General features: G+C 50.5%; 1 protein-coding gene across 14 annotated transcripts in view; it reads left to right on the top strand.

The window, feature by feature from the left end:
- The first annotated feature begins 4,371 nt into the window (after nucleotides 1–4,371).
- Nucleotides 4,372–24,685, top strand: part of MEGF11 (multiple EGF like domains 11) — a 358,452-nt gene continuing 338,138 nt past the window's right edge. For all 14 annotated transcript variants that reach the window (NR_169555.1, NR_169554.1, NR_169558.1 and 11 more), the window contains exon 1: nucleotides 4,372–4,517. The gene's annotated coding sequence lies outside the window, so the exon portion shown is untranslated. The remainder of the gene's footprint in view (nucleotides 4,518–24,685) is intronic.

Here is a 24,685-nt window from a genome sequence, read left to right as displayed (position 1 = left end):
AATGGAGAGCTCTCCAGTACCAGCTACTGAGAATGAGTCACAGACTCAATTCTCAATTCAAAGCAATTGGCACTTCTGACGTTTATACACAAATAGATCTCCACCAATCTCATTAAATATTCAATCCATATTCAAAGTTATTAAATATTGAACATGATTTAATAAATACAACCAAGTTAATCAAGACTTCGATTGGTGGTTGTGGGTTCATAAAAAGCTTGTGAAAAGAGTCATGCCACTGCGTCTTATTCTGATCCTCTGCCTCCCGCCCGTTTTTAAGAGTGCAGGAATTGTGTTATATTTGTGTGTGCAGGGGATGTTTGGGGTGTGTTGGTGTGTGTGTAGGTGTGTTGGGTTGTCATCTCCCAGTAATTTGTGTATCGGGCAGGATTGTTGTGTGTGGGTATATTTGCAGATGGGTCTGGCATATATTGTATCAGTGTATGTTCTATCAGTGGATGTAATGCAGTTGAGCAATGGTTTCTTCTCTGCACCTCACTGATGGCTAGGACCACATGGATCCCAAAATTCTCTATAATTCTTTGGGGGCATTTTTCGAAGGTTACTTTCAGGTTTGTGTATGTGCATTCAGCTCCTGAGAGTGAATGCCTCCCTAGGTTGCCTTACCCAAGTCCCAGTCCCATAGTGCAAGACACTACAGCATCGAGAAAAGAGCTTAGAACAAGCTTGAGTTCAAATTCAGGTTCTGTCATTTACTGGCTATGTGGCCTAGGGCAAATTACTTTTTTTTGGCCCTCAGTCTTTCCTCTGTAGAAGGGAAATAATAATGCCTACTATACAGAATTGTCACGAAGTTTAAATGATAACATGTGTGTATCTTATTAATAAATTGTAGATATTTTACTTATTCTTTTTCCAAGGCAAGGCCCTATGCTGGGCTTTGTATCAGATATGAAGGTAAATAAGACATGGTATTGACCCCAATTATGTTAGAGTCTGGTGGGGAGGGAGACATTCCGCCCTCCCAAGCACTCTGACATATTGTGTTCCACTTGCAGTTTTAAAAGACCCCACAAGTTCTGAAATCGTTCATTCATTCAACAAATTCCAGTCATCCCTGGGTTTGCTTTGTGGGTATTCCTGCTTGGGGCTTTGAGTCAGAGTTCTGCAGGAAGATAGAGAGGGAAAGGCGATCTCCCCTCAAGGAATGGAGGGAGAGAGAAGGAAAACAAAGAGAATTCCCTGCCTGCACACTTGACTGAAGGAAAGACCACTGTGGTCTGAGCCTTGGATCCTCTCTCCAGTGTCCTAGCCTTCAGATAATTTATTTCTAAGAGGAGGAGATCCTCTCACCTTAGGTGCCGGAGTTTTGGCTTCCTTACTTTTCACCCCTGTCCAGGCCAAAGTGTGCAGAGGGTGCAATTGCACTTGCTTGTGGTCATATAGCTAACATGTGACAGAGCCAAGGATTTGAAGTCAGGCTTCCTCTTCCAGGTTCCCTACTCTGCTTCTGCTCCTTTTCTTTTTCTTTTTTTTTTTTTTTCCACTGTCTTCCGACTCCAGAGTATAAGCTTGCTTTTTTTTTTTTTTCTGGCAGCATCAACCAGGTATGCAAACTTTTTGATAGCAGGGTTTATAGCACAGAATAGTGGATTTTTATCTCAAATATGCCCTTCAGTGAGTAGCCTGGCTTTAGATGGCATAGCTTCCAAAATGACCTTGTTGCAGCTAGTTGAAGGTGGATATGGCAGTGGGCTGTGCAGAGTGGCGCCTCCTGTAAGTAGGCACTCAGAGACTGACAAATGAATGATGGACCATGGGCTCTAATGTGACCCCCAGCCAACCTCAGAGATGCTTGCTAAAAGTGTTTCTGGCTCTGTTGGGACATGTGTCCTTGGAGCCTTGCCATCTGGGTATGGAAGGTGCAGCTCTATAGATTGGTATGGCTTTTTAGAGTGTAGCAGAAAACCAGGCAATCCCCAGCCCAGCGTGGAGGGGGCCAGCAATCCTCAGACACACAATTCAAGCCTGGCAGGTGTGAGTGTATAAGAGGAGGGAGCGGGAGTTTCTTCCTATTTATTGGTCATCGAGATGGGATGAGATGGGAAGACCTGTCTACCTTCCCAAACCTATCAGAACTGAAGTCTGAGACTTATAAGTGGATGGCTACCACATAGAGGGAGGGTTGTGGGACATGGTGGGGATTACAACTCATAATGAAAATGGGAATGTGAAGATGAAGGAAAGATATGCCAAACCCTACCTTGTGCAGTATTAATTGCTCACAGTAGTCAAGTGCTACTCTGTGTCAGGAATTGTGCTTCGGTGCATTATGTGGTTTAATCCTCACACAGCTCACAGTACTATCATCGTTCCCATTTTACTGATAGGGAAACAGGTTAAGTGACTGCCCAGTGTCACAGTTAGTAAGTGGTGGAGCAGGCATACAAATTTGGCATCTATGATACCCACAAACTGTGGCACCTCAGAGCTGGAGAAAATCTTAGAGAACATCGAATTCAGCCTCTTCATGGTCAGGTGGGGAAATAATGCCAGCATGGGGGCGGCCATGGACCAAGGCCAGACAGCTGGTGAACAGCAGCCCTCAGATTTGCCTGCAGTCGGGACTAGGGTGAGGCAGGGAGGCTCTGAGGGGAGAATTTAAGGAGGCGCTCACCCTCAGTTGCAGACTCTGAGGGTGAGCACTCCACGTGCCCCACCCAAGTCTCAGCCTTGAGCAGATGCTTCTTCTGGCTTTGTGGTGTGAACCACAGAGGCCCAGGCCGGGCTTTATTGACTTAATTTGATATCCCAAAGCGAGGAATGAATAGAATATTTGTGCAGAGTTTTGCTAGCACCCCAAAGTAGATTTTTACCCAGGGGCTGAGCAGAGGTTCTGCTTCTGGTTGTACTTCTGTTTCTGCTTCTGGTTGTGTACCACAGAAATTTCTGGCCCCAGAAATTAGGGGTGGAACTATGAGAATCCTGGTGGTGTCGGGCCGCAGCGTGGACTCCATGGGAACGGAGACCCCACGTCTCTCCTCCCGCCCGACTCCACTGGGCTGAAACGAGGAAGTGCCAGGAAAAGCTTCTAGGGGAGGGACTTGCTCCATCAGACCCAGAATGGCCCGGGTGGGCTAGGTGCTCAGACACACGGACGGACACACAGCTCCCAGTCTCAGGCATTAGGCCTACTTTATTCGCAAAAATTCATCTCCCCAGGTGTGTATAACCACCTTTCCAACCCTGGGCCTTTCCGCTCCAGTTTTAGTTCAAGGACAAAAGAGGGCAAACCCCACGAGCAAAGTACCCTGCCGCCACTCCTATCCCGTGTAAGCAGGAGTCAGCCCACATTTCCTGGGAAGGGGTAGGAGGTGGAGGAAAGGGGGTTCCCTGCACCACTCTTAAGAGCCAGGTCTTTACCCCTGTCTGGCTTGGCCTCACTAGGAGTGTCGTGGGGCAGCCAGGCGGCCCCAGGTGCTGTAGCAGAGGAGGAAGGCTTCCTCCCCATGGCCCCCGGGACTTGGGCGCAGAGGCAGGCAAAGGGACGGGAACGAGCTGACGGGCCTCAGGCGCCCTCGCACTTCCCGCATCAGCGCAGGAGCCCAGTCCTAGGCTGCGAGGAGCGGTGGGGGTCTCGACCTTGCCTGGAGTAGACCTCGGCAAGACAAGTTCATTGCCCTCTTCTCTTTGGGTCTCAGTTTCCTCATCTCACCAGGCACGGCTCAGCCCGACTTGGGTCTTAACATTTTGAGTTCTTTGCTTTTCTTGCCCTTTTCCTTGCCGGGACGTTTCTCGAGCCCCTGTCTTGAGTCCCTGTCTCCGGCCCTACCCCTCCCTCTCGACCTTCGGCCTGTTAGGAGCACGGCCTGGGGGTGCCCCTGGCTCCATTTAACCCCCAGACCCCCACTCCCATCCCCGGGATCTCCCATCGAGAGCATAGAGGAGGAGGCGCGCAGGCCGCTCCACTCCCCCAGGAGGGAAAGGGGGAGTAGGGAAGAGAAAGGGGAGTAGACGCGCGAGAAGGTTAGCAGGAGGAGAAAATAGAAAATAGAGAAAAGAGGGAGCAAGAAAAATGACCAAAAGAACGAAAGTGGGGAGGAGGGAGGTGAGATGCTGGAAAAGGATGAATGGGAGAAAAAGGAGAATCCAAAGGCAAGCTGAAGAGAGAGACTGAAGACAGGAAAAAGAACGAACGAGCGCGCGCGTAACAGCAGGATCTGAAAGGACCAAACAGAGAGAAAGAGGAAAAAAATGAGGGGGGTGTGCGGGAGAGCGGAGGGAGGGAGCTGCGAGCCGGGAGGAGGAAGGCTGGGAGGGAAGGAGAGGGAGGGGCCGAGGGACGAAGCGGGTGGGGGCTGGCTCGGCAGCAGCCGCCGCGGCTCCAGCCGCCCGCTCGCTCGCTCGCTCAGTCGCTCCCGGTGCCCGCTGCCCGCCGCCCGGCTCCCGGCTGCTCGCGGCCCCCTGCTCCTGCCTGGCGCTCTGGCCAGGCTCGGGCTCCGGAGGACAGGACCGCGCGACTGGCCGGCCGATCCCTGGGCCGGCCGCGGGAGCAGGTAGGTGGCTGAGTGGGGACCGCGAGGACGCGGAGTCTCGGACGCCGGGGGCACCAGGGGACGCGGGGGTGGGGGTTCCGGCCCTGGGGAGGGGACTTTGAGGCCCCGCGACTAACTTTCCACCAGCTCCGCGGACCCCGGCCGCCCTGCCCGGGTCCCGGCTGCCGAAGCCGAGTTTGGCTCCGGGAGTAGGTGGATGCCGGGGCTTGCAGGAGCGCCAGGGGGTCCGGCAGGATGTAGGGCGCCTCAATGTGGGCAGCCGCAGCCCTCCGGCCGCAGTCGGGATGCAGCGTCCGCGGCGCCTCCACGTGCGGGGGAAGACCCGAGAGCAGTGGCGCGGCGCGGGTGTCCCGGGGAGGGCGCCCGTCCGCCCCCTTGAGTCTGGGGACTCCGCTCTCAAGCCGCCCCGGGTGCGCCGGCTGCACTCACTGCACCGGCGCCTTCCCCGCCGGGGTCGGGAGGCAGAGCCTGCGGGGACGCAGCAGGTTTTCGGCGGCGGCCGGCGATGCGCCCCGCGGCCGCTAAGCCCCAGCAAGTGCCATGCACGCTTTTGCTTTTGGGAGAAGGGAGGCGGAACGTGTATCCCCCTATTTCTTTCCCATCCCATAGCCGTTACTCTATTCCGGGAAGTCCAGGACCTGGACGGCCTTGTTGGTTGGCTCCCAGGACGATCCTCCTGCCCTAGACTGCGACCCTGGCTCCCAAAGTTAAAGGAGAAGCAAGTGACTCTCTGCGCGCGCCTGGAGCGTGGTCCCGAAGTTCCCAACTTCTCGCCCAGCCGTGGGCGGTAGTGTTGGAGGTGGGGAAATGGGTGGTGGTTGTGGCTCCTTGGAGCTGCCGAGCGCAGCCGCCTTCCTCCTGGACTTGGTTTATTTTCCTAATTTGTTAGAAAAAATACTACTTAAAAATAGGCAGAATCGTTCCTCGAGGGCGTCAAGGTCCCTGAGTGGGATGCAGCCGTCACCTGTCCTGAGCCCGGGAGCGCCGAGCCTCGGCGTGGCGGTGCCCAGAGCCCCCGAGCCCGGGCGGCTTCTCCCGGACCTGGACTCGCGGGCTCCATCCAGCGGCAGCCGCGTCTCGGGATCGGTGCCCCGCAGCCCGCGCTGCGAGGCCAGTGTGACTGTCTCCCGAGTGGTCATGTTCTCCGGAAAAATATTTCAAAGTGGCTCCGCTTCAGGATCGCCCACTCTCCATCCCTCCAAGAGCCGAGAGAACAGGGCCTGCGGCGGGTTGGAGGAGGCCTTTGGGATGGTTTGGGCTCCTGGCCATCTCGGCTCCCTTGGGCAGGGGTCCTCGCGCCCCGGCACCAGCGCCCCTCCGGCGCTCTGCCAGGGAAACAAGGGTTAAAACCCCGGCCGGTGGGGGGTGGGGGGTGGGGGGCGGGGGGTGCGGCTCGCGGCGGCCGGCTGGGGCAATCGGAGCCTGCCGGGGGCTCAGTCCCACTCGTTCCCGGAGTCGGAGGGGCCGGATTCGCCGACCTCTGCGGCTTCTCGGAGCCAGCGGAGCCCCGGCCCAGCAGCTCTCTTTGTTGGAGTGCTGTCGGGAGATTATCTTGAGAGGTTTAGGGGGTTTAGAGGTACCAAAAGCTCGAGGCTTTCCGGAGAGGGTCCCTCTGCCGTCACTCCCTGCAGACTGGGCGGGGTGCCCCGAGGGCGTTGAGCAGACGTTGAGCATCCTCTGCTCCTCCGGCGGATTTTCCTGGTGCACACCATGCACCAGCTCTCTCCGTTGCTCACATTTTGTTTAAGCCGCTAGAAATTCGAGGTCTAGGACTGCAATCTCGCCACTTCCTCCCACTCACAGATCAGCAAACTGAGGTCCAGAGAAGTGAAAGGACTTGCTTAGAGCTGCTATACGGGAGGAAGAGTAGATAAACCAAGTCTCCTGACTTCTGGGTCAGGGCCTTTTCTAGTATTCCACTCTAACTTTACTGCTTTCTTCGCACAGGGCAAGTGTTCCCAGTTAGGCCACTGCACATCCTTGACAGGCTCGAGGGCTGGGTGTGTGTGAGGTTAGAGGCAGAGGACCTGTCTCTGGATTTTCGGGTTAGGTGCTGTGCTGGGAGCATCTCCCAGGATAAATCACTCATGTGACAGTTTGTTGCATACCTGTTCTGTCCCTGCACCGAGCTCTGGGGGTAAATGGAGCCCGCACACAGGGCTCAGCCCCATCAGGTGCAACCCATAGGGAAAGAGGAGCCATTGTTTTGTAGTCAAGGAAGTGAGTGCATGTAGGCATTCTCAGGTGAAATCACTTCGGGAGGGGCTGGATTAGGGATAGTCCGTGGAGAAGGCAAGATTAGGAGCTGATCCTCGGGTAGGTTTCCATTTGGGGAAGGAGGGTTGTCAGGATACAGGGCTTGAGTCCTAAGAAGGAGGCAGGAAAGCTGGTTAAGCGGCTGGTCAAAGCACAGCACTGTCAGGGCCAATGAGCACTGGGCCTTTGTGTGAGAATCACTAGGGAAGCTAGAAGAGCCAGTTGCTCAGAGCTCAAGCTCAGAACCTGGCCCCAGGGGTCTTCTAGGCCTAGACTTAGGGTGAGCAATCGGCCGGCAAGTCAGTTCCCCATGAGCCAAGTGTGGTGGGGTCAGATGGGCAGTATTCTGGCGTTTGCTTCTTTTCTCCTTTCTCATCATTCCCAGGGGTTTCAATCATTCTCATTATTTTGCCCCTTCTCTCTTTTTTTTTCATTCTTTTTTTTTTGAGACGGAGTCTCACTTTCTCAGGCTGGAGTACAGTGGCATGATCTTGGCTCACGGCAACCTCCGCCTTCTGGGTTCAAGTGATTCTCCTGCCTCAGCCTCCCAAGTAGCTGGGACTACAGGTGTGGGCCACCATGCCAGGCTAATTTTTGTATTTTTAGTAGAGATGGGGATTTGCCATGTTGGCCAGGCTGGTCTCAGACTCCTGACCTCAAGTGATCTGCCTGCCTTGGCCTCCCAAAGTGCTGGGATTACAGGCTGAGCCACCGCACCCAGCCCTTTTGCCTCTTCCCAACCATAACTTCTAGCTGCTTCAGTGTTCCGAACTTATGAAAGGCAGGAACACGTAGTCAGCAAATAGTTACTGAGCTCCTTCTTTGTGCCAGGCACTGGACTAGGCCCTTGGGATACAGCAATGAATCAGACAGGAGGAGTCCCATACCTTGTGATGCTGACATTCTAGGCTCTCTCCTCCATAGGCTTAAAGTTTAGTCGTAGAACAGAGGCAAATACACAACAATGTCTGAAGAAGTCCTGAAATGGGACAATATAATAGGGAATTCTGAACCTCCCCTCTAGTGGTTCAAGGCTCCAAGGTGAAAGATTTGACGCTGTTGGCTGTGAGATTTGGAGATTCTGTGGGCTTGCATGACCCCAGCTCCTGGTTGCCAGGGGTAACCCAAAGGCAGCTGCAGTGGTGACCTTAGAGGCAGCATTGGAGAACTGCTGTGCAGATCTTCTGCCAGGAAGGGAGCTGGTGAGTGCTGGCAACTATGATCTTGCTAGGTATCCATAGAGACTGGTGCCAGGTAACCATGTCCCTCTTAAATTCCAGCATCCACAGCTGTTTGGTGTGCTCTGGAGCCCCATTGTACAGATGAGTAAATGGAGCCCTGAATCTGTAGATTGGGACAGCTGTGCAGTAAGAGGGGCCCAGCCCGTATAGAATCCAGGTGTTCCCTGATACAGGATTCAATTTAAAATGCTGCTCTTTTCTTCCTAGTAAAGCATTTCTTCCTTGCAGACTAGTGATTCTCAGATTTCAGTGTGGAGGGCTTGTGAAAACACAGGTTACTGGGCCACACTCCCAAGTTTCTGATTCAATGGGTCTGGAGTAGGTCCAGCAATTTGCATTTCTAAACAAGTTCCTTGGTGATGCTGATTCTCTAGTTCTGGAGACCACACTTGGACACTTTGAGAATCAATGTGGTAGAACAAGGGAAAGTGAATGATTTTTTGAGATTATAAGATGGGGAAGCCTGGAACGAAGGCTGTGATTTAGCTCTAGGAACTCATAAGACTTGCTATGTACATCCCCTCCCCCTCCCCATCCAAGAGGCCATAGAATTAAAAGAATATTTTATCTTCATCAGCACATACACAGAGAGAATATATTGCAATATAATTAGGGAATAAATAGGTGTCGTGTATTGGATGTAGACTCCATGCCCGGTGGCTCTGTGGGGGTTTATTATAGCAGTGTTATAATTGAAAAGGTGTCATCCACTCCGAGAGCCCCTCATGAAACTTCCATGGCCTGGGTGGTCATTGTCCAAAAAAACATGCCTTCTTCATTAAAAGACTGAAAGAGAGATTGCTTCTCCTGCTAATGGGACTGTGTTTCATTTGACAGTAACTATGCAGTGTGTTCTTAAGGAATTGGGAGGGGTGGGGGAAACAACTGAACAGCCAGTGTGAACAGAGAGGTGCTGAAGGAAGTCCACACCACAGGTTCACAGGTCTGTTTGTTGAGCATCTCAAAATGTTTTGAAACTCTGTCTGTCTGTCTTCCTGTATTTCTGATATGAAGCTGTATCTCAGCAGGAAGAGGAGAGTTTGTGTTTCAACTTGGCTGGCCTGGTAAATGTAACAGCACACTTTATCCCCAATGTGTTAATTAGACCCAAAAGAAAAGAACCATAAAAGAGTTGTTCTCCTAAACGCCAGCATTTTTCATCTGGATTCTATTTATCGATTATTTTATAGTTGAGAGGGAGCAAAAATCCATGTTTTTATAGCAAATAAAGCTGGCTGCAGTAATTATGCAGGCTTAACATGTCTGTTCTGGAGCAGGAAGTTGGAATTCAGCCTGACTCTCAAACATTTGGGTGAGATCTAATTGAAAAAGACATTTCAAAGAACAAATATTTAGGAATGAGGAGTTTCGCTGATGGTCTCTCTGGGCCAAGTGTGAGTACCTTGCTTTTAGTTTGATCCTCAGAGGTGGGAGGAGACTATGGAGAAGGACCTGGTCAGTAATGTTGAGACCACAGTCAAAATGTGAGGCTGAAACTTAAAGATAATCAGTGAGGCTTAGTAAAGGGAAGAAAGATGCCTTCAGGGAATATATCCCCTGTACCTGGTGAGCAAGGGGAAGATCAATTAATCAAATATAGATTGAATACTTATTGAATGCCAAACCTTGGGATAGGCACAATGAGGGCAGGGGCCAGGACTTTACTAGTTATATATCTTTTATAATGGTTAGCTCAGGTATCCATTGTGACAAAAGCCCTTGATTGGAGTGGGAATGAAGGCTGCAAGTGACAGAGAAGCTGAATTCAACTGGCTGAAACAATAAGGAATTTAGTATCTCCCATAACAAGAGGTCTGGGTTATGTCTGCCCTATAGTTGGTTCTTTCAGTTTGTTCAACAGCATCATGAAAGATCCGGATGCTTTTCATCTTTCCTGTTCCCAAGATCACAAGATGGTGGCAACATTTCCAGGTGTTATATCCTCACAATCATGAGCAGAGGCAGAAAAGGCAGGAGGGAGTCTTACCCAGAAGCCCCTCAGCAGACTTTCCCTTTTGTCTTATTGGCTAGAATTGTGAATCATGTGTCACGCCTAAGTCAACCACCACAGGCAAGAGAAGGAAGTCATTGTAATTGACCTAGAACAATTTTTTTTTTTTTTTTGGAGACGGAGTTTCACTTTTGTTGCCCAGGCTGGTGCCATCTCGCCCCAGCCTCCCGAGTGGCTGGATTACAGGCACGCGCCACCATGCCTGGCTAATTTTGTATTTTTAGTAGAGATGGGGTTTCTCCATGTTGGTCAAGCTGGTCTCAAACTCCCAACCTCAGGTGATCTGCCAGCCTCGGCCTCCCAAAATGCTGGGATTACAGGTGTGAGCCACTGCGCCCGGCTGAACCATCTTTTTTTTAAAGGGCTCTCCTTCTGTTGCCCAGGCTGGAGTGCAGTGCTGCTATCATAGCTCACTGCAGCCTCAAACTCTTGGGCTCAAGTGATCCTCCTGTTTCAGCCTCCTGAGTAGATGGGACCACAGATGTGCACCACAGCACCTGGCTTGGCCTAGAACAACCTTGATTTGTGTATTGGGCCTCAGAGAGGATCAAAATTAGGATTCTTTTGGAAGGGTGAAAGGAGTAACTAACAGTGGTTGCCATAGAGCTCAAGACATGGGTTTGAATTATCTTTCTACTCGTTTTAAGCCCTGTTTTTCACCTCCTGTGCCTCAGTTTACTGAACCTAGGATGGGGATCTATTGGGAAGATAAATCTGAATTAGCACCATAATTATACTTGATTAGTACAAGAGAGTAGAAGATTATTTGTAAATTGATCTCTGAATCAAAGAATTTATAATCATCTAATGCAGGGGACATGTGAGGACTAGACCATCAAGAATATCAAATGGAGAACAGAACTAGAGAATAAATAATCATGACTTGCAGACCCACCATTATAGGAGGAGCATAACATCAATGGGAGCCATAGTAGCTAGGGAAGGCTTCCTGGAGGAGGTGGTTCATGGCTCATACTGAAACTCCAGCACTTAAGTATGGATAGGTTATAAAATCTTTCTGCCCAACTTGCTTCCTCTTGCTTTTTTCTCAGTGGTAAAATGGGACCATTTGGCCAAGATAAAAATCTTATCTCTACAATCACAGTGGCTTTGATAGTCAATCCAAATACGATCAGTACTGACTAGCATGATTCTGGGAGGGAGGCCGCAGTGACTCCCTCGCCAGCCCTGGATTCCTGGTTTCCAGTCCTGGATCACGCATCAATCTCCATGTCTCAAGCCACGTTTCATCTCCTGATTAGATATTATTATTATTATTAGTTTTGAGATAGAATCGTACTCCTGTTGCCCAGGCTGGAGTGCAGTGGTGCAATCTTAGCTCACTGCAGCCTTGACCTGCTTGGGTCAAACGATTCTCCCACCTAAGCCTCCCAAGTAGCTGGGACTACAGGTGTTGCCACCATGCCCAGCTAATTATTTTTATTTTTTTTTTTGGTGGAGATGGGGTTTTGCCATATTGCCCAGGCTAGTGTCCTGAACTCCTGGGCTCAAGCAATGCACCCACCTCAGCCTCCCACAGTGCTGAGATTACAGGCGTGAGCCACTGCACTGGGCAGATATTATTATTATTAAAAGCAGTATTTGGATGCCTGGCCGCCATCATGAAACCTATATGCCTAAACTGAAATCTAATGTTTCCTCACCTCTCAAGTCATCTCCCCTTCTGGTTTCTTCACTTTTGTTGCTGGCGAAACCACCTTCCCAGATGTTTGGGCTCAAAACCTGAGCAGGTACCCCTGCCCCCATTCCATACACTCTGCTTGCAATACTCAAGCATCGACTTGCTTTTTTTAAAAAAAAAATTAATTAATTATTTTTGAGATGGAGGCTTGCTCTTGTCACTCAGGCTGGAGAGCAATGGCGTGATCTCTGCTCATTGCAAACTCTCCCTCTCGGGTTCAAGCAATTCTTGTGCCTCAGCCTTCTGAGTAGCTGGGATTACAGGCTTGCACCACCATGCCTGGCTCATTTTTGTATTTTTAGTAGAGAAAGGGTCTCACTGTGTTGGCCTGGTCTCGAACTCCTGACTTCAGGTGATCCACCCCACTCGGCCTCCCAAAGTGCTGGGATTACAGGAGTGAGCCACCATGCCTGGCTGCCTTTTGTTTTTAGGATGTTTCTTGTATATGTTCTCTCCCTTCTGACATGAGAAATCTTCTTTGCTCAGGTCCTCTCTAACTCATGCCGGGTGATGGCACTGCATCCTACTCTGCCATCCTCAGAGCATAGTGCATAGGTGTATGGGGGGACATGTGTCTTTGGGAGTAGTCTATGGGGGCTCTGTAAATGGGATAGTTTTTATAAATTCTACTGAGGGGTAGAGTCTCTGCAATGAGTCCGGAATCCATGGCTGCAAATCCAATATGTTGCTCTGGGAGCCATTTTCCAGCCTCTCATCTCTTTCCCCTTCATATCACACTGAAGCATTGGTTTTGGTTTGTTTTTGGAGACAGGGTCACACTGTTGCCCAGGCTGGTGTGCAGTAGTGCAATCATAGCTCACTTCCATCTTGAACACCTGGGCTCAAGCTATCTTCCCGCCTCAGCCTCCAGGGTAGCTGGGACCACAGGTGTATGCCACCATGCCTGGCTAATTTTTTTTTTTCTTTTTTTACAGAGATGGGTCTTGCTATATTACCCAGGCAGGTCTCAAACTCCTGGCTTCAAGCAGTCCTCCCACCTTGCCCTCCCAAAGTGCTGGGATTACAGGAGTGCGCCACTGTGCCTGGCCTAAAACATTGTTTTAACCAACTCATTATCTTACATTTTTTTTCCATAGCACCTACCAGATGAAGCCCAAGTTCCTCAAATAGACAGTTGAAAGTCTCAACAATCTGCCTGCATCCTGCCTCCCCAGTCCCTACCTGTTCACTGCTAGGACTCACCATTATGGCTGACTCAGCTTCAAGTTCTGTCTTTCCCTGTGTTTAATCCAAATCACCCTTTCCTTTAAGACCAGTGTTAGTCCTGCATCCTCAGGTGACCTCCCCTCACTACTGGAGCCCACAGTGATATCCAAGCATTGATCTTTCCTTCCCATGAACTTCTGTAGCAATTATTGCCCGCACCACAAATTTGGCACTTAATATGCTGCTGTTGTCATTGATAACATTTTATTGGTGTGTTTATTGTCTTCCCAGTTGGATATAAGACCCCTGGGACCCAAGGCAGTGGGGGTGGGTGTATCTGTCTTTATACCCAGGGTCGTGGCCAGCAAGCACACAGCACTTCAGTATTTGTTGAATTAATAAATCATAGGAATAGATTATTTACCTGAGAAATCAGTTAATCTTCACCCTTTTTTCTTCACCTCAACTGGGGAAAGGGACTAAATTTAATGAATTCCTGCTCTGTGCTGGGTACTACTTCAGGTGATTTTTAGGAAAGATTTTAACTGAGCCTGGTAACCACCCTGTGAAGTCGGGATTCTTGGTGTTATCCTGCAGATGAGGAAAGCGTGGCTCTGGGAGAGTCGGGTGGCTTCCTGTGCTCACTCAGCCAGCAGGAGAGGAGTGAGGAACAGGGTCATCTTCTTTCCTCTATGTTTTCTATTGCATACATCTTCCTGAAGTTCTCCCGACCTTTGGGTGCCTGTTCTCCCAGTCTCTTTTTCCTTGTGTCCCACTGTGCCCCACTGCTTTGCTGCATCCCCAGGACTTTGGAATAATTCAGGAACCTCTAGATTCTAGCAGCGGACTCTGAGCTTTCTGGTGGAACAGATAAGATGTGTTACTTGGTGCAGAAAAGAGGGGTAGAGCCAGTAACGAGCAGGAGAGGACTTACTAATGGGCCTCAGGTCTTCAGAAGGCCTTGGATGACAGTGGGCAGGACATAGAGCCTTCTTTGGGGGTGTCTGGGAGGAGTGGGCGATGTTTACTGCGGGAGAGATGAGGTGTGAGACCATAGCAAGGACCACCATTGTTAGGGCCTCGCGGTTGAGCAGGCACTTCTCAGGCGCATGTATTTTCTAGACTGTGTCTTACAACAACTTTGTAGAGCAGGTTATTGTCCTCAGAACAGGATGTTAAAGAGTTCAAGTGGCTTGGCCCAAGTCACACCCCGACTTGATGCCTACCTCCCAATGGTTAGTAACCCTGAGTGACAACAACAGGCTTGGTTTTCCAGAGGCCATGTGGACCACGTGAGGTGGCCATGCTTCCTGAGGTAGGAGCTTCATAGTATGATGTTGGAAGGACTGTTCTGGAATTGATTCTGCAGGTCGGTAGAGGTGACTTACCCCTGTGTATCTAGGGCCTATCTTTTCTCAGACCAAAAATTATTTAAAACCCACTCCTGTCCTTGGAACCTGTCCTTCCCCTGCCTGACTTGCCTGGTTTATCATCCAAGCTTAAAATAAATACAATAAATAAAAACACCCCAAAACTCTTTCTCCTCCTGCAGAGGATGAGCAACAATCTACATATGCAAATAAATGGCATGCCAGTCTCCATGAATATTAATTTGGAAAGGGAGTCTGAGGCCCTAAAATACACTCAAAACCAACAATTTGGCATCTCACAACTCTTCCAGCTCACTTCCAGTGATCGTGGCCTTGTTATATTTTAAGATTGCCCCGCTCCCAGCTGGCCGCCCTTCTGCACCCCTGGAAGTTCAAGTTACCAAATGGATGGAGAGTGTCTCAGGTTGGCAGGTTGGAGGTCCAGGGATGACGGGTGAGTCCTCACCCTGGGGCTGGGCTGACCTTGTCCTGCCTCCCCGGTCAGGGCCCAGGCCTTAGCCCCTCTCTGATCCCAGCATTAGCAGGGAGTCCTCAACGCCAGGGGACATTTCTGGGAAACACCATGGGCAACCGTCAACCTGGGACCCTTGTACTGTCAGGGAACATGCAGGGTGGGGCAGGGCAGCAGCCTCAGGAATCAGCTTCTCCGGCCTCTCAGGGGCAAATGGGGAAACCGAGATCCGGAGGTTAGGTGCCTTGCCCAGAGTGCCACGGTGAGTTAATGGCAGGAAGTGAGAACACTTGTTCATTCTTTGCTCTGAGAAGCACATTTCTTTTTGAGTGTGTGTGTGTATGTAGAAGAGGGTAGGCAGGGTAGTGCTTAAAGTTTGTATACTTTGGGGGAAAGAGTCATTCTTCTCTTATGATCATTTACCCAGAGACAAGTGGCAACAGAAAATTCAGCCTTGTGTCCCATTTCCATTGAAATAAATGATTTCCTTCCTCTCTCAGTAGATTTCCAAATTAGATTATGCATAGGCCAGAATTAATGTGAGGTTGTCTTGCAGAGTACCCTCTGGCTGAAGGCGTGATAGGGCAGGAGAGAGAAGGGCTGAAGTATCTCCAAGGAAGCCAGGTGGGAGAGGACCTCGAGGTGGAAGAGGAAGGAGTTGACAGTAACTTCTGTGTCCCACTTGTATGGGGAGGAGGGCAGAGGGGAATGGTGCAGCATTGTGGTATCATCAAGAGTTGGGTCTCTTGCTTGCCCTTTCCTACTGCTTATTGGATAGGCATGAGCATATCAGCTCATCTTTGGACCTCCTTTTCCTTGTCAGTAAATATTGGGGTAATACTGAGATAACCAACCACTTCTCCCTCCCTCCCTCCCTTCCCTCCCTCCCTCCCTATCTCCCTCCCTCCCTCTCTCTTTCTTTCCATCTGTCCTTCTTTCTTCTTCTTTTTCTTTCTTTCTTTCTTTCTTTTTTTTTTTAGACAGAGTCTCACTCTGCTGCTTAGGCTGGAGTGCAGTGGCACAATTATGGCTCACTGCAACCTCGACATCCCAGGCTCAAGCAATCCTTTGGCCTCAACCTCCCAAGTAGCTGGGAACATAGGTGTGCACTGGCATGCCAGGATAATTTTTTATTTTTTTTTGTAGAGATGGGGTCTCCCTGTGTTGCCCAGGCTGGTCTCAAACTCCTGGGCTCAAGTGATCCTCCTGCTTTGGCCTCCCAAAGTGTTGAGATTATAGATGTGAGTCACTATGTCCGGCTTGCCCCTACTTGTTAGTGCTGCTTTGTGAAGACTAAATGAAGATTTAATGTTCTGCACCATGCCTCACACAAAGGCATTCAGGACATCTAAATTTCTTTCTTTTCCAGATAGATTTATTTGACTGGCTGCAGTTGTCAGTATGGCTATGTTTGTATTTGTGTTTGTGTTTCCACTTGTGTCTAGATTGGTGTGTTTCTCTTTGTTGTCTGTGTATGTGCTGCTGTTATCCACGTGTGTATTTCTGAGTGTGGTGGTGTAGATAGGGATGTGAGGACGTCTGTATATGTCTTTGTGCTTGTGTCTTTGCGTGTTGGGTTGAGTAGCGTGCTTTGTGCCTGTGAGCAGCTGTGTCTCTGTGTGTCAGTGTTTCCATGATGGCATGACTGCTCTATGTGTGTGTGTATTGCAGGGCTGGTATGCCCAGAGATCTCCAGGGATTCAGGAAGCTTCACAGTGCACAGGAGCCCTGGACCTGGGTCCCCTCTAAGGTCCCTATGGTGTCCTCCTCCCCGCAAAAAAGCCTCCTGCAGTTCCTGGAGACCTTCCTAATTGCCCTCTGTCTGTTTTCCTCTGCCTCCCACTGGAGGCACATGGGGCCTAAGAATGCTTCCGAGGTGGCAGGGCCCCTGGTCCATTTGCATTCGTGTTTGCATATCATTTGCATTGTCTATACAGACTGTGCTTTCAGTTCTGCAGTTTTCAAGGTAAAATGTAGTTGCTCTTCTTGAAGGTCATTATATTAAGAATTTTTCTCTGTTTTATTCTTTCTGGTCCAGACCACTCTCCCAGAACCGGGAGGGTAGGGCAGGATAGAAGCCCCAGAAGCCTCTGCTGTTCCGTCAGCCCCTCCTCCTGGTCCACTGCCCCTCCCTGGGCCTCCAGCTTGGGGGACACTGTGACAGTCTTCCACTCAGCGGGCCTGGTTCAGTGGGTAGAGACCCTGGGCCCTGGGAGGAGGAGCAGCTGCGGGGGAGATTTTCTTACCCAGAGGTAGTTGATTCGGCCCAGATCCCAAGAGGGCAGGGAATAACACAGTCCAACTTGTGCCTATTGCCTGCTTGCCCAGTCCCCATGACTTACTCCTGTTAGGGAAGGACCACCATGGATGTTTCAACGTCTGTATACCCATCTTTGGCTGGGGAGGGGCCACGGGGCTGGGCTGGCCTTATAGGAAACAAAGGAGTCAAAGATGTCTTTTCCTTTCAAACATCTAATACATACTTAATAATATTTCTGATGCCACGGAAGACACAAATCCAAAAAGCTTCCCCAGGAGGGCTGTACCCAAAAAGCTTCCCCAGGACAGCTGTACCCAAAAAGTATCTTCCTTATGGGTCACCCCATGCAAGACATCTCCTCTTTCAATGTGGATTTGAGTCCTGGCTCTGCCATGCACTAGCTGCATGGTTTCTGACCAGCTACCTAACCTGTCTGAGCACCCTGCTTCTCATCTGTAAGAGGAGAGTGATAACAGTACTTAAGATTAATAATACATAGGGTTGTGAAACTCAAATGAACAAGGCAGGTAAAAGGCTTAGCTTAGTGTCTGGAATGTAGCAAAGACAAAGACTCAGTGAATGTCTGACTTGCCAGTCCCCATGGGCGTATTAGAAAACAGAGGTTCCAGGGTGTGGTCTTTATCGCTTCGTATAAATTGTTCACCGGAAGCACCTCAGACGCGTGACAGGCAACAGGCCTGCGTCCCTTCGTGGCCTTTCTGTAAGTCCAGCTCTAGGGGACCTTGGCTGCTTTTGCCTTCCCACAAGGGGAAGTGTTGCAAAGGCAGCTGGGGAAGCAGGAGCACCCTTGTCTGTGTCTCCGAAAATTCAGCCCCCACTCTCCCCTGGTTCCAGGGTTGGCAAGATCTCATCTTCTCAAAGTCAAGTCATTCATCTTCTCTCATGTGTCTTTCCTCTGAGCAAGGCCCTGCTGGACACCCAGGCCCTTCCACAGCAGAGCAGATTTTGGGTTCCCCAGAAAACAGAGCTTGAGCGAAGTCTTTGTGCTGGTGCTTTATTGGGGGGCTGGGGTGGAGCTCAGGGCAGGGAGAGGGAGAGGAAAAAGGAAAGTGAGGCAAGGAGGGAGGAAAAGCGAATGCCAGCCGCCACTTCGGGAGAAAAGAAAGCTGGTTGCTTAGTCATGAGGGATGGCTCCTGTTAGGCTGAGTGGAGCCACTGTGACTCAGAACAGTTTGTTGCAGGTACAAGTGATAGAGTTTATCTGCTAGCTCTTTGGTGTTTCATTGGTTCAGGTTTTCCTCATGGAGCATTAACTCCCTTGCACCTCCGGGTCATATCACCTGACCCTGTTGGGAAGCCTCTGGAGAAGCCCAATCCCATGCCCTGTGGCATGGTGCCTCACCTGGGCCCAGAAGTCATGACAGCATCCAGTGCTCCACATGACCGGTGGGTGGACCCTGGTACGGAAGCTGCTCTGGCTTCTGAGGAGTGTGCAGTGCAGGCTGTGCCAGAGCCTGGCCCTCACCCTGGGGGAGGCTGGGGCAGCCAGTGATGTTAGATGAGACCACTGGTAGTGGTGGCCTAGCTCTCCACCCAGAAAGTAGGTGATGGTCTGGGAGGCAGGTGGGGCCAAGCAAATCTGGGAAAGCGCATATGTAGGGTCTGATTCAGCCATCATTAATCAATGAATCAATTCACGACTGGGGCCAGGTGCTGGAGTCTGGGCCTTCCCCTGTAGGCAGGGGGGAGTCATCAGTGGTTCTTGAGCAGGTGAGAGACTGCTCAGTGTTCAGTAATGACATGAGTTATTTGGAGAGGGTCCTTGCTCAGGCCTACATGTCTTTGTCCACAAAGATTCAGATGGGGGTTGATACCAGAAGACCTGGCATTCCTAACTCAGTTCAGGGAACAGAAAATGCTCCTAGCTCATCATTGCCTATGGAGTTTCACTCAGCAGTGAGGAGGCTGAGTCCCCCATGACAGCTGTAGAGGTCTTAATCAGAGAGGAGAATGTCCTTCCCGAGTAAGGTGAGATCATTCTGAAGTGGGTCAGAGACCAGAGTGCCTGGGTTCGAACCCCAGCTCTGCCATTTAAAAGCAGGTGACCTTGGGCAAGTGACTCAACTTCTACTCATTCAGTCAATGTTTAGTGAGCACCTGCTCTGTGGCAGACTGTTCTTGCTGTTGGGCGTACAGCAGTGAGCAATGCAAGACAAACAGACACAAATCCTTTCCTTGTGGAGCTTCCATTCTCGTGGAGGAAGCCGGACTCTAAGCAAGTAAGTTAGTAGATGGTTTATTTGAAGGTGACAAGCGATGTGGCGGAAAGCAGGACAGGTGAAGAGGCAGTGATGGGTGGGGGTGGGGTTGCAGTTTAAAAAAGAGTGTTAGGGAAGGTCTGCAATAAAAAGGTGGCCTTTAAGTTATACCTGGAGGAGGGGAGGGTGTGAGACATGCTGATATCTAGGGGAGACACCCTTGCCTCAGTTTTCTCACCTGTACAGTCAGGGTTATGATAGAACCTATCTCAGGGGCTGCTGTGAGGGTTAAATGAGTTAATCCACGCAGTGGGTTTAAACCTGGCCTGGCACACAGTGAAACACTATTGTCACCACTGCTGAGGTAGGAGTCCATCTCTACTGCCTCCAGGCGGTGCTCCTGGGCTCTAGACTACAGGGATTTTGGTGGCCTTCATCTCCCCAAGAGTGCGTGTGGGGATCTCCTCCAACCTTCCCTGTCTCCTCATTGAAAGGGGCACACAACCTGCAGTCTGAGAAGCAACACATGCATTTTCTTTTTACTCGAGCATCTGAGTCCCTGAGGGAATCGCAGAAAAGCCTTTAGCAAACTCCAGGTTTAGGAAGCAGCTTCCAGCCTTTCTCTGGGGCATCTGTGGACTGGGGTGGGCAGGCGTTTCTGGCCTAGATCAGCTCAGGGTGGGTTGGGGAGGGGGTTTCCCACCCAGAAAACTGGGCTCCTAGCAGTGGGGATGCAGGGCTGGCCCTATTCACACCCTCCTGGCTGGGTGGCAGCCCAGTTCTCATCAGCAGGCGCTGAGAGTCCCTCCAGCAATTCGGATACTATTATTTACTATTGCAGAGATTTTTGTGGCTGTGATTTACCACCACTGCGAAGCCCCAGGACCTGAATCCCAGTAGCTTCAGTATAGATATTGCATCGAATCAATCCTCTATTACCGTGCAAATACATCCTATAGGATATTGCTGTATTTTCCCTTCAAACACTTAATACATAATTAATGATATTAAAATACATCTAATGCCACAGAAGATACCAGCCTCAAAAGCTTCCTGTTATAATTTATTCCCACCTAGATAAAAGATTGATTTATTGGTTCACTTATCATTCAGGAGTGGTCCTCTCCTGGCCATCCATGGGAAGGGGCGGTGGAGGCAGGAAGTGCCTGCTGTGTGGCAGACTGCCCTCCAGACAGCATTGAGCCCGGCGGGAGATAGCCACGTGCCAGTGTCTTCAAGGATTACTCATTCAATTCTCCCAAACTACTCCAGGAAGGAGGTCCTGTTGTTATTCCACTCTATAGATGGAGAAACAGAGGCCAGAGAGGCAGCCCCACTTGCCCAAAGTCATAATCTTAGGCTTCCCCACAGGACGGTGGACCTGGAAGGTGGGCTTGGCATTTCTTACCCCTTAAAACGGCAGCCATTGTCACTACTCTGCAGGAGTATTTGAGAATTAGAGATAACAGCAGATGTTAGGCACTAAAACATGCTGCTGACGTCCTTATTTGGAGGTGAAATGGTGAGACCATCAATTTTAAGGGTATTGTTTTGGCAGCTAGGTGGTCTTTTGTTGGGGGGAGTGAGTTGGAAGGAGACAGGGTGTGGGACCCCACTGTCATCAGGCACACACCTTCTCTGGCCGATAAGACACCATGAGAAGAAACCACACTCCAGAGTCCATCTGGGAGTTTCTTCATCCAGGCTTCACCCAGGCCCTCCTGTGAATCACGAGAGCGCTGGACTTGGGAATGAAGATAACGTGGTCCCTGGATGAGGCACTGTGTCTGGTGGAAATGGACAGACACATAACTAGTGTGACGAGGTGTGATGGGTGTTAGCATGCAGGCACCAGGATTCCAACAGCCCGGGGTGCCTGGATGGTGCTGCCAGTGGACAAGGGAAGGAGGTGCTGGGTGAGGGAGTGGCATGTGACCCATGCCGGGCACACGGAGGGTCCTGAGAATGATTGAGGTGAATATCAAGATTGAGATGGCGGGGACAGCAGTCTTGTTCTTCCCGGGGTGTTACAGCGGGCCGCCCATCTTGGCTCAGCTCCTCTGCCCCTTTGTTCTGATGTGGAGGAAATGAACTGGGTTGTGTTCTCCCCAAACCAGGACCGGCAGAGGAGCTGGATGCTGAGCAGGGGCAGGAGGTGGGGACAGGAAGCTGCCTGCAAACAACCACCACAGCCAGGAGGCACGGAGGCTCACTGGGGACCCTTCCTGGGCCAGAGGACTAGGGTTCGAGCTGCTGTTCTTCCCTCCAGCACAGCCATTTCCACACCCCCATGGAATTCTCAGGACGCCCTCTCATTCTTCCTTGTCCCATCCAGACTTTATCCATGGCATTGGTGGTATTGAATGGTATTGAGGGCAGACCCAGCCTGTGCCCCCAGACTGAAGAGCTGCTTCTTGCTCAGGAGTCCTTTGCCTTGGCTTGGGACTTCTCTCCCTTTTGCCTGTGATGTCTTTTCCCTCCCCAGTCCACATTCCCTGTGGCAGGCAGAAGGATCTTTCTAAAGTGCAAACTGGACCATGTCCCTGCCTGTCGGAAACCCTTTAACAGTTTCCCATTGCCCTCGGGATGAAGTCAAAACTCATTAGCACAGAGTCAAGGCCCAGCAGCCTCACCCCATCCTCTATAATCCACCTTGCACTTGATGCTTGGGTAGCACCAAGCCGCTTCTGGTCCTCCCTCCTCCAGAACACACAGTGCTGTGTCACACCTCTGTGTCTTTGCATATGTTGTTTTCTGACTGCAAAGCCCTTCCTACCTTCCTTATGTGGCTGACTCTTACTCATCCTCCACAATTCAACCCAGACACCATCTCCTCCAGGAAGCCTTCCCTGAACTCCCCTCCCTCTGGTGGGCTGAGTGACTTGTCTTTCTGTTCTGACTCTCTGTGCTTATTATAGTCAAATACACTCAACACTGTAGTGAGAGCCTCAGGAGGAGGGACTTGGTCAAACAGGGAGCCAGTACCCAGTGCTGTCCCTGGCATGTAGTAGGGTTAAAGATTTGTTGTCACACTGAACCGGGATAGTCCTTGTCCTTGATATGGAGACTTGATGCTTGCCTGTGGCTCTCCTTGACCTGTGGGGAAGAGGTGGGATTTGGCAGGCAATTTTGGGGTGGACTGTGAGATGTGGGAGCCCGGGCAGTCTTGGGACGCTTCCAGGATCCTGTAGGAGGACCCAGGCTCTTCTGGAGTTTAGAGAACATCACTGCTCTGAGTGCCTGGAGGGTTTTGGCAGGTATTGGGGTGTAGTGCTGTTGCTCAGAGGCTTGAGAAACGAGGATGATCCTGGGTAGTTGAGACCCCTGGGTAGGTAGTCAGTTTCTATTCTCCCTCTTGGCCATGTCTCTGGATTTGTTACAGATTTTGACCTTTTTTTTTTCTTTGAGACAGAGTCTTATTTTGTTGCCCAGGCTGGAGTGTAGTGATACCATCATGGCTCACTGCAGCCTCAACCTCCCAGGCTCAAGCAGTCCCCTCATCTCAGCCTCCCAAGTAGCCGGGAATAAAGGTGCATGCCACCATACCCAGCTAATTTTAAAATTTTTTATAGAGATGAGGTCTCCCTACATTGCCCAGGCTGGTCTCAAACTTCTGGACTCAAGCAATCCTCCTCCTCAGCCTCCCAAATTGCTGGGATTACAGGCATAAGCCACCTTGCCCTGCTATATTTTGACCTTTGAATTGCTTTAATCGGCTCCCTAATTTTTGTCCCTAACTTGATTCTCTGCACCTTCCCCGCCCTCCGCCATGTGTAACACAAGGGATTTAAGCAGAGGAAGATCTTCAAAAAATAGGAGACTCTGAAATGGGTTTTCAGGGAAAGCGTGGCGCCCCCTCTCCTGCTTTGTGCAGAGTAGGCGTGGAGGGTGTGGAAGCATAGGAAAGAGCCCCTTACTTCCTGTGGGATGAGGACAGTGAAATGACATCACCAGACCCTGAGTTCCGAAGGTGGGAAGGGCAGAGAGGACCTGGTTCAGGGCCAGGGATTGCTCTGGGACTCCCCCACTGGAGGCTCGGTGTCCTTCTGGGTAATTTTCATCTTTAATTTCTCAGCGTTTTATGAACAGGGAGTAAATCAGGATCCTGAACCGACTGCTTCATGTAAAGGATTAATAAACTGGAGATTTATGGGGCAGCAGCAGAGGAAGGCAGTGGAAATGGAGAATGAAATGAGACTTGGGCAGAGGCTGGCTCCAGAATCTTCCCTCCATTGTAGGACATCTGCATTCCATTGTAGGGACCCGATTGGGATCCTTGTCCTTCAGGGATCATATTCAGGGTTGGGTGGTGGGCCTGGGCCTGGGCCCTGGCCTGTGTCTTCCATGTAGGAGTAAACCAGGTGGTCCCAAGGTCAAGGGGGCAGAACCATGCCTGGGTCTGTCTAGTTTGACAGCCTGATACCCACTCTTCAGCGTTGCGTATAGATACATGCTGTGGGCTTGGACTCAAATGGTCTAGTTTTGAGTCTATAGCCAGAGGACTGAAGTTGACATTCTCTTTGGCTATATCAGTTAAGCTGCAAGTAACAGAAAAGCATGATATCAGAGGCTTAAATAATAAGAATCTAGGTCCTTTCCGCCTCTCTGGCTGTTCCTCTCGGCGTGTTAGCACATCCTCGCAATAGCGCCTCATGGTGGTGACATGGCTGCAGTAGTTCCAGTCTTACATTCAGAAATGACAATGTCTGGCCGGGTGCAGTGGCTCGTGCCTGTAATCCCAGCACTTTGGGAGGCCAAGGTGGATGGATCACTTGAGGTCAGGAGTTTGAGACCAGCCTGGCCAGCACAGCGAAACCCCGTCCCTACTAAAAATACAGAAATCAGCCGGAGGCTGAGGCAGGAGAATCGCTTGAACCCGGGAGGTGGAGGTTGCAGTGAGCTGAGATCCAGCCTGGGTGACAGAGCAAAACACCATCTCAAAAAAAAAAAAAAAAGAAAAAGAAAAAAAAAAAGAAATGACAATGTCCAGTGGAACAAAGGACTGCCTGTCTCTCTTAATGGACATCTCTTTTTAAGAGCAAGGACACTCTCCCCAGAAGACCTTTGGCAGGCGTTCCTCATATCTTACTGGCCAGAACTGGGTCACATGCTCCTTCCTAAACCAGTCACTAGCATGATGAAAGGGACTACCATGATTGGGTCAGAGTAAGGAAGATTCACTGGGTCATGCTTCCCTGAGTCATGTTGGAGAGAAGTGGGCACCTAGACAGAAGTGGGGCACTCAGGGAATGGGGAAAGGGCGTGGCTGCTGGACAGGCATTTGCTGTGGTGACTTTGGGTAGTTTGTTTTAGCTTGCTAAGCCTTAGTTTCCCCATCTGTAAAGTGAGAATAATCATAATAGTACTTTCTGGCCAGGTGCAGTAGCTCATGCCTGTCATCCCAGCACTAGGGGACACTGAGGTGGGCGGATCACTTGAGGTCAGGAGTTCGAGACCAGCCTGACCAACA

Source organism: Homo sapiens, chromosome 15 (assembly GCF_000001405.40).
Source record: "Homo sapiens chromosome 15, GRCh38.p14 Primary Assembly".
Lineage (NCBI taxonomy): Eukaryota > Metazoa > Chordata > Mammalia > Primates > Hominidae > Homo > Homo sapiens.
The sequence above is the reverse complement of the archived record's forward strand: the minus strand, read 5'-3'. Positions and strand labels throughout refer to the sequence as shown.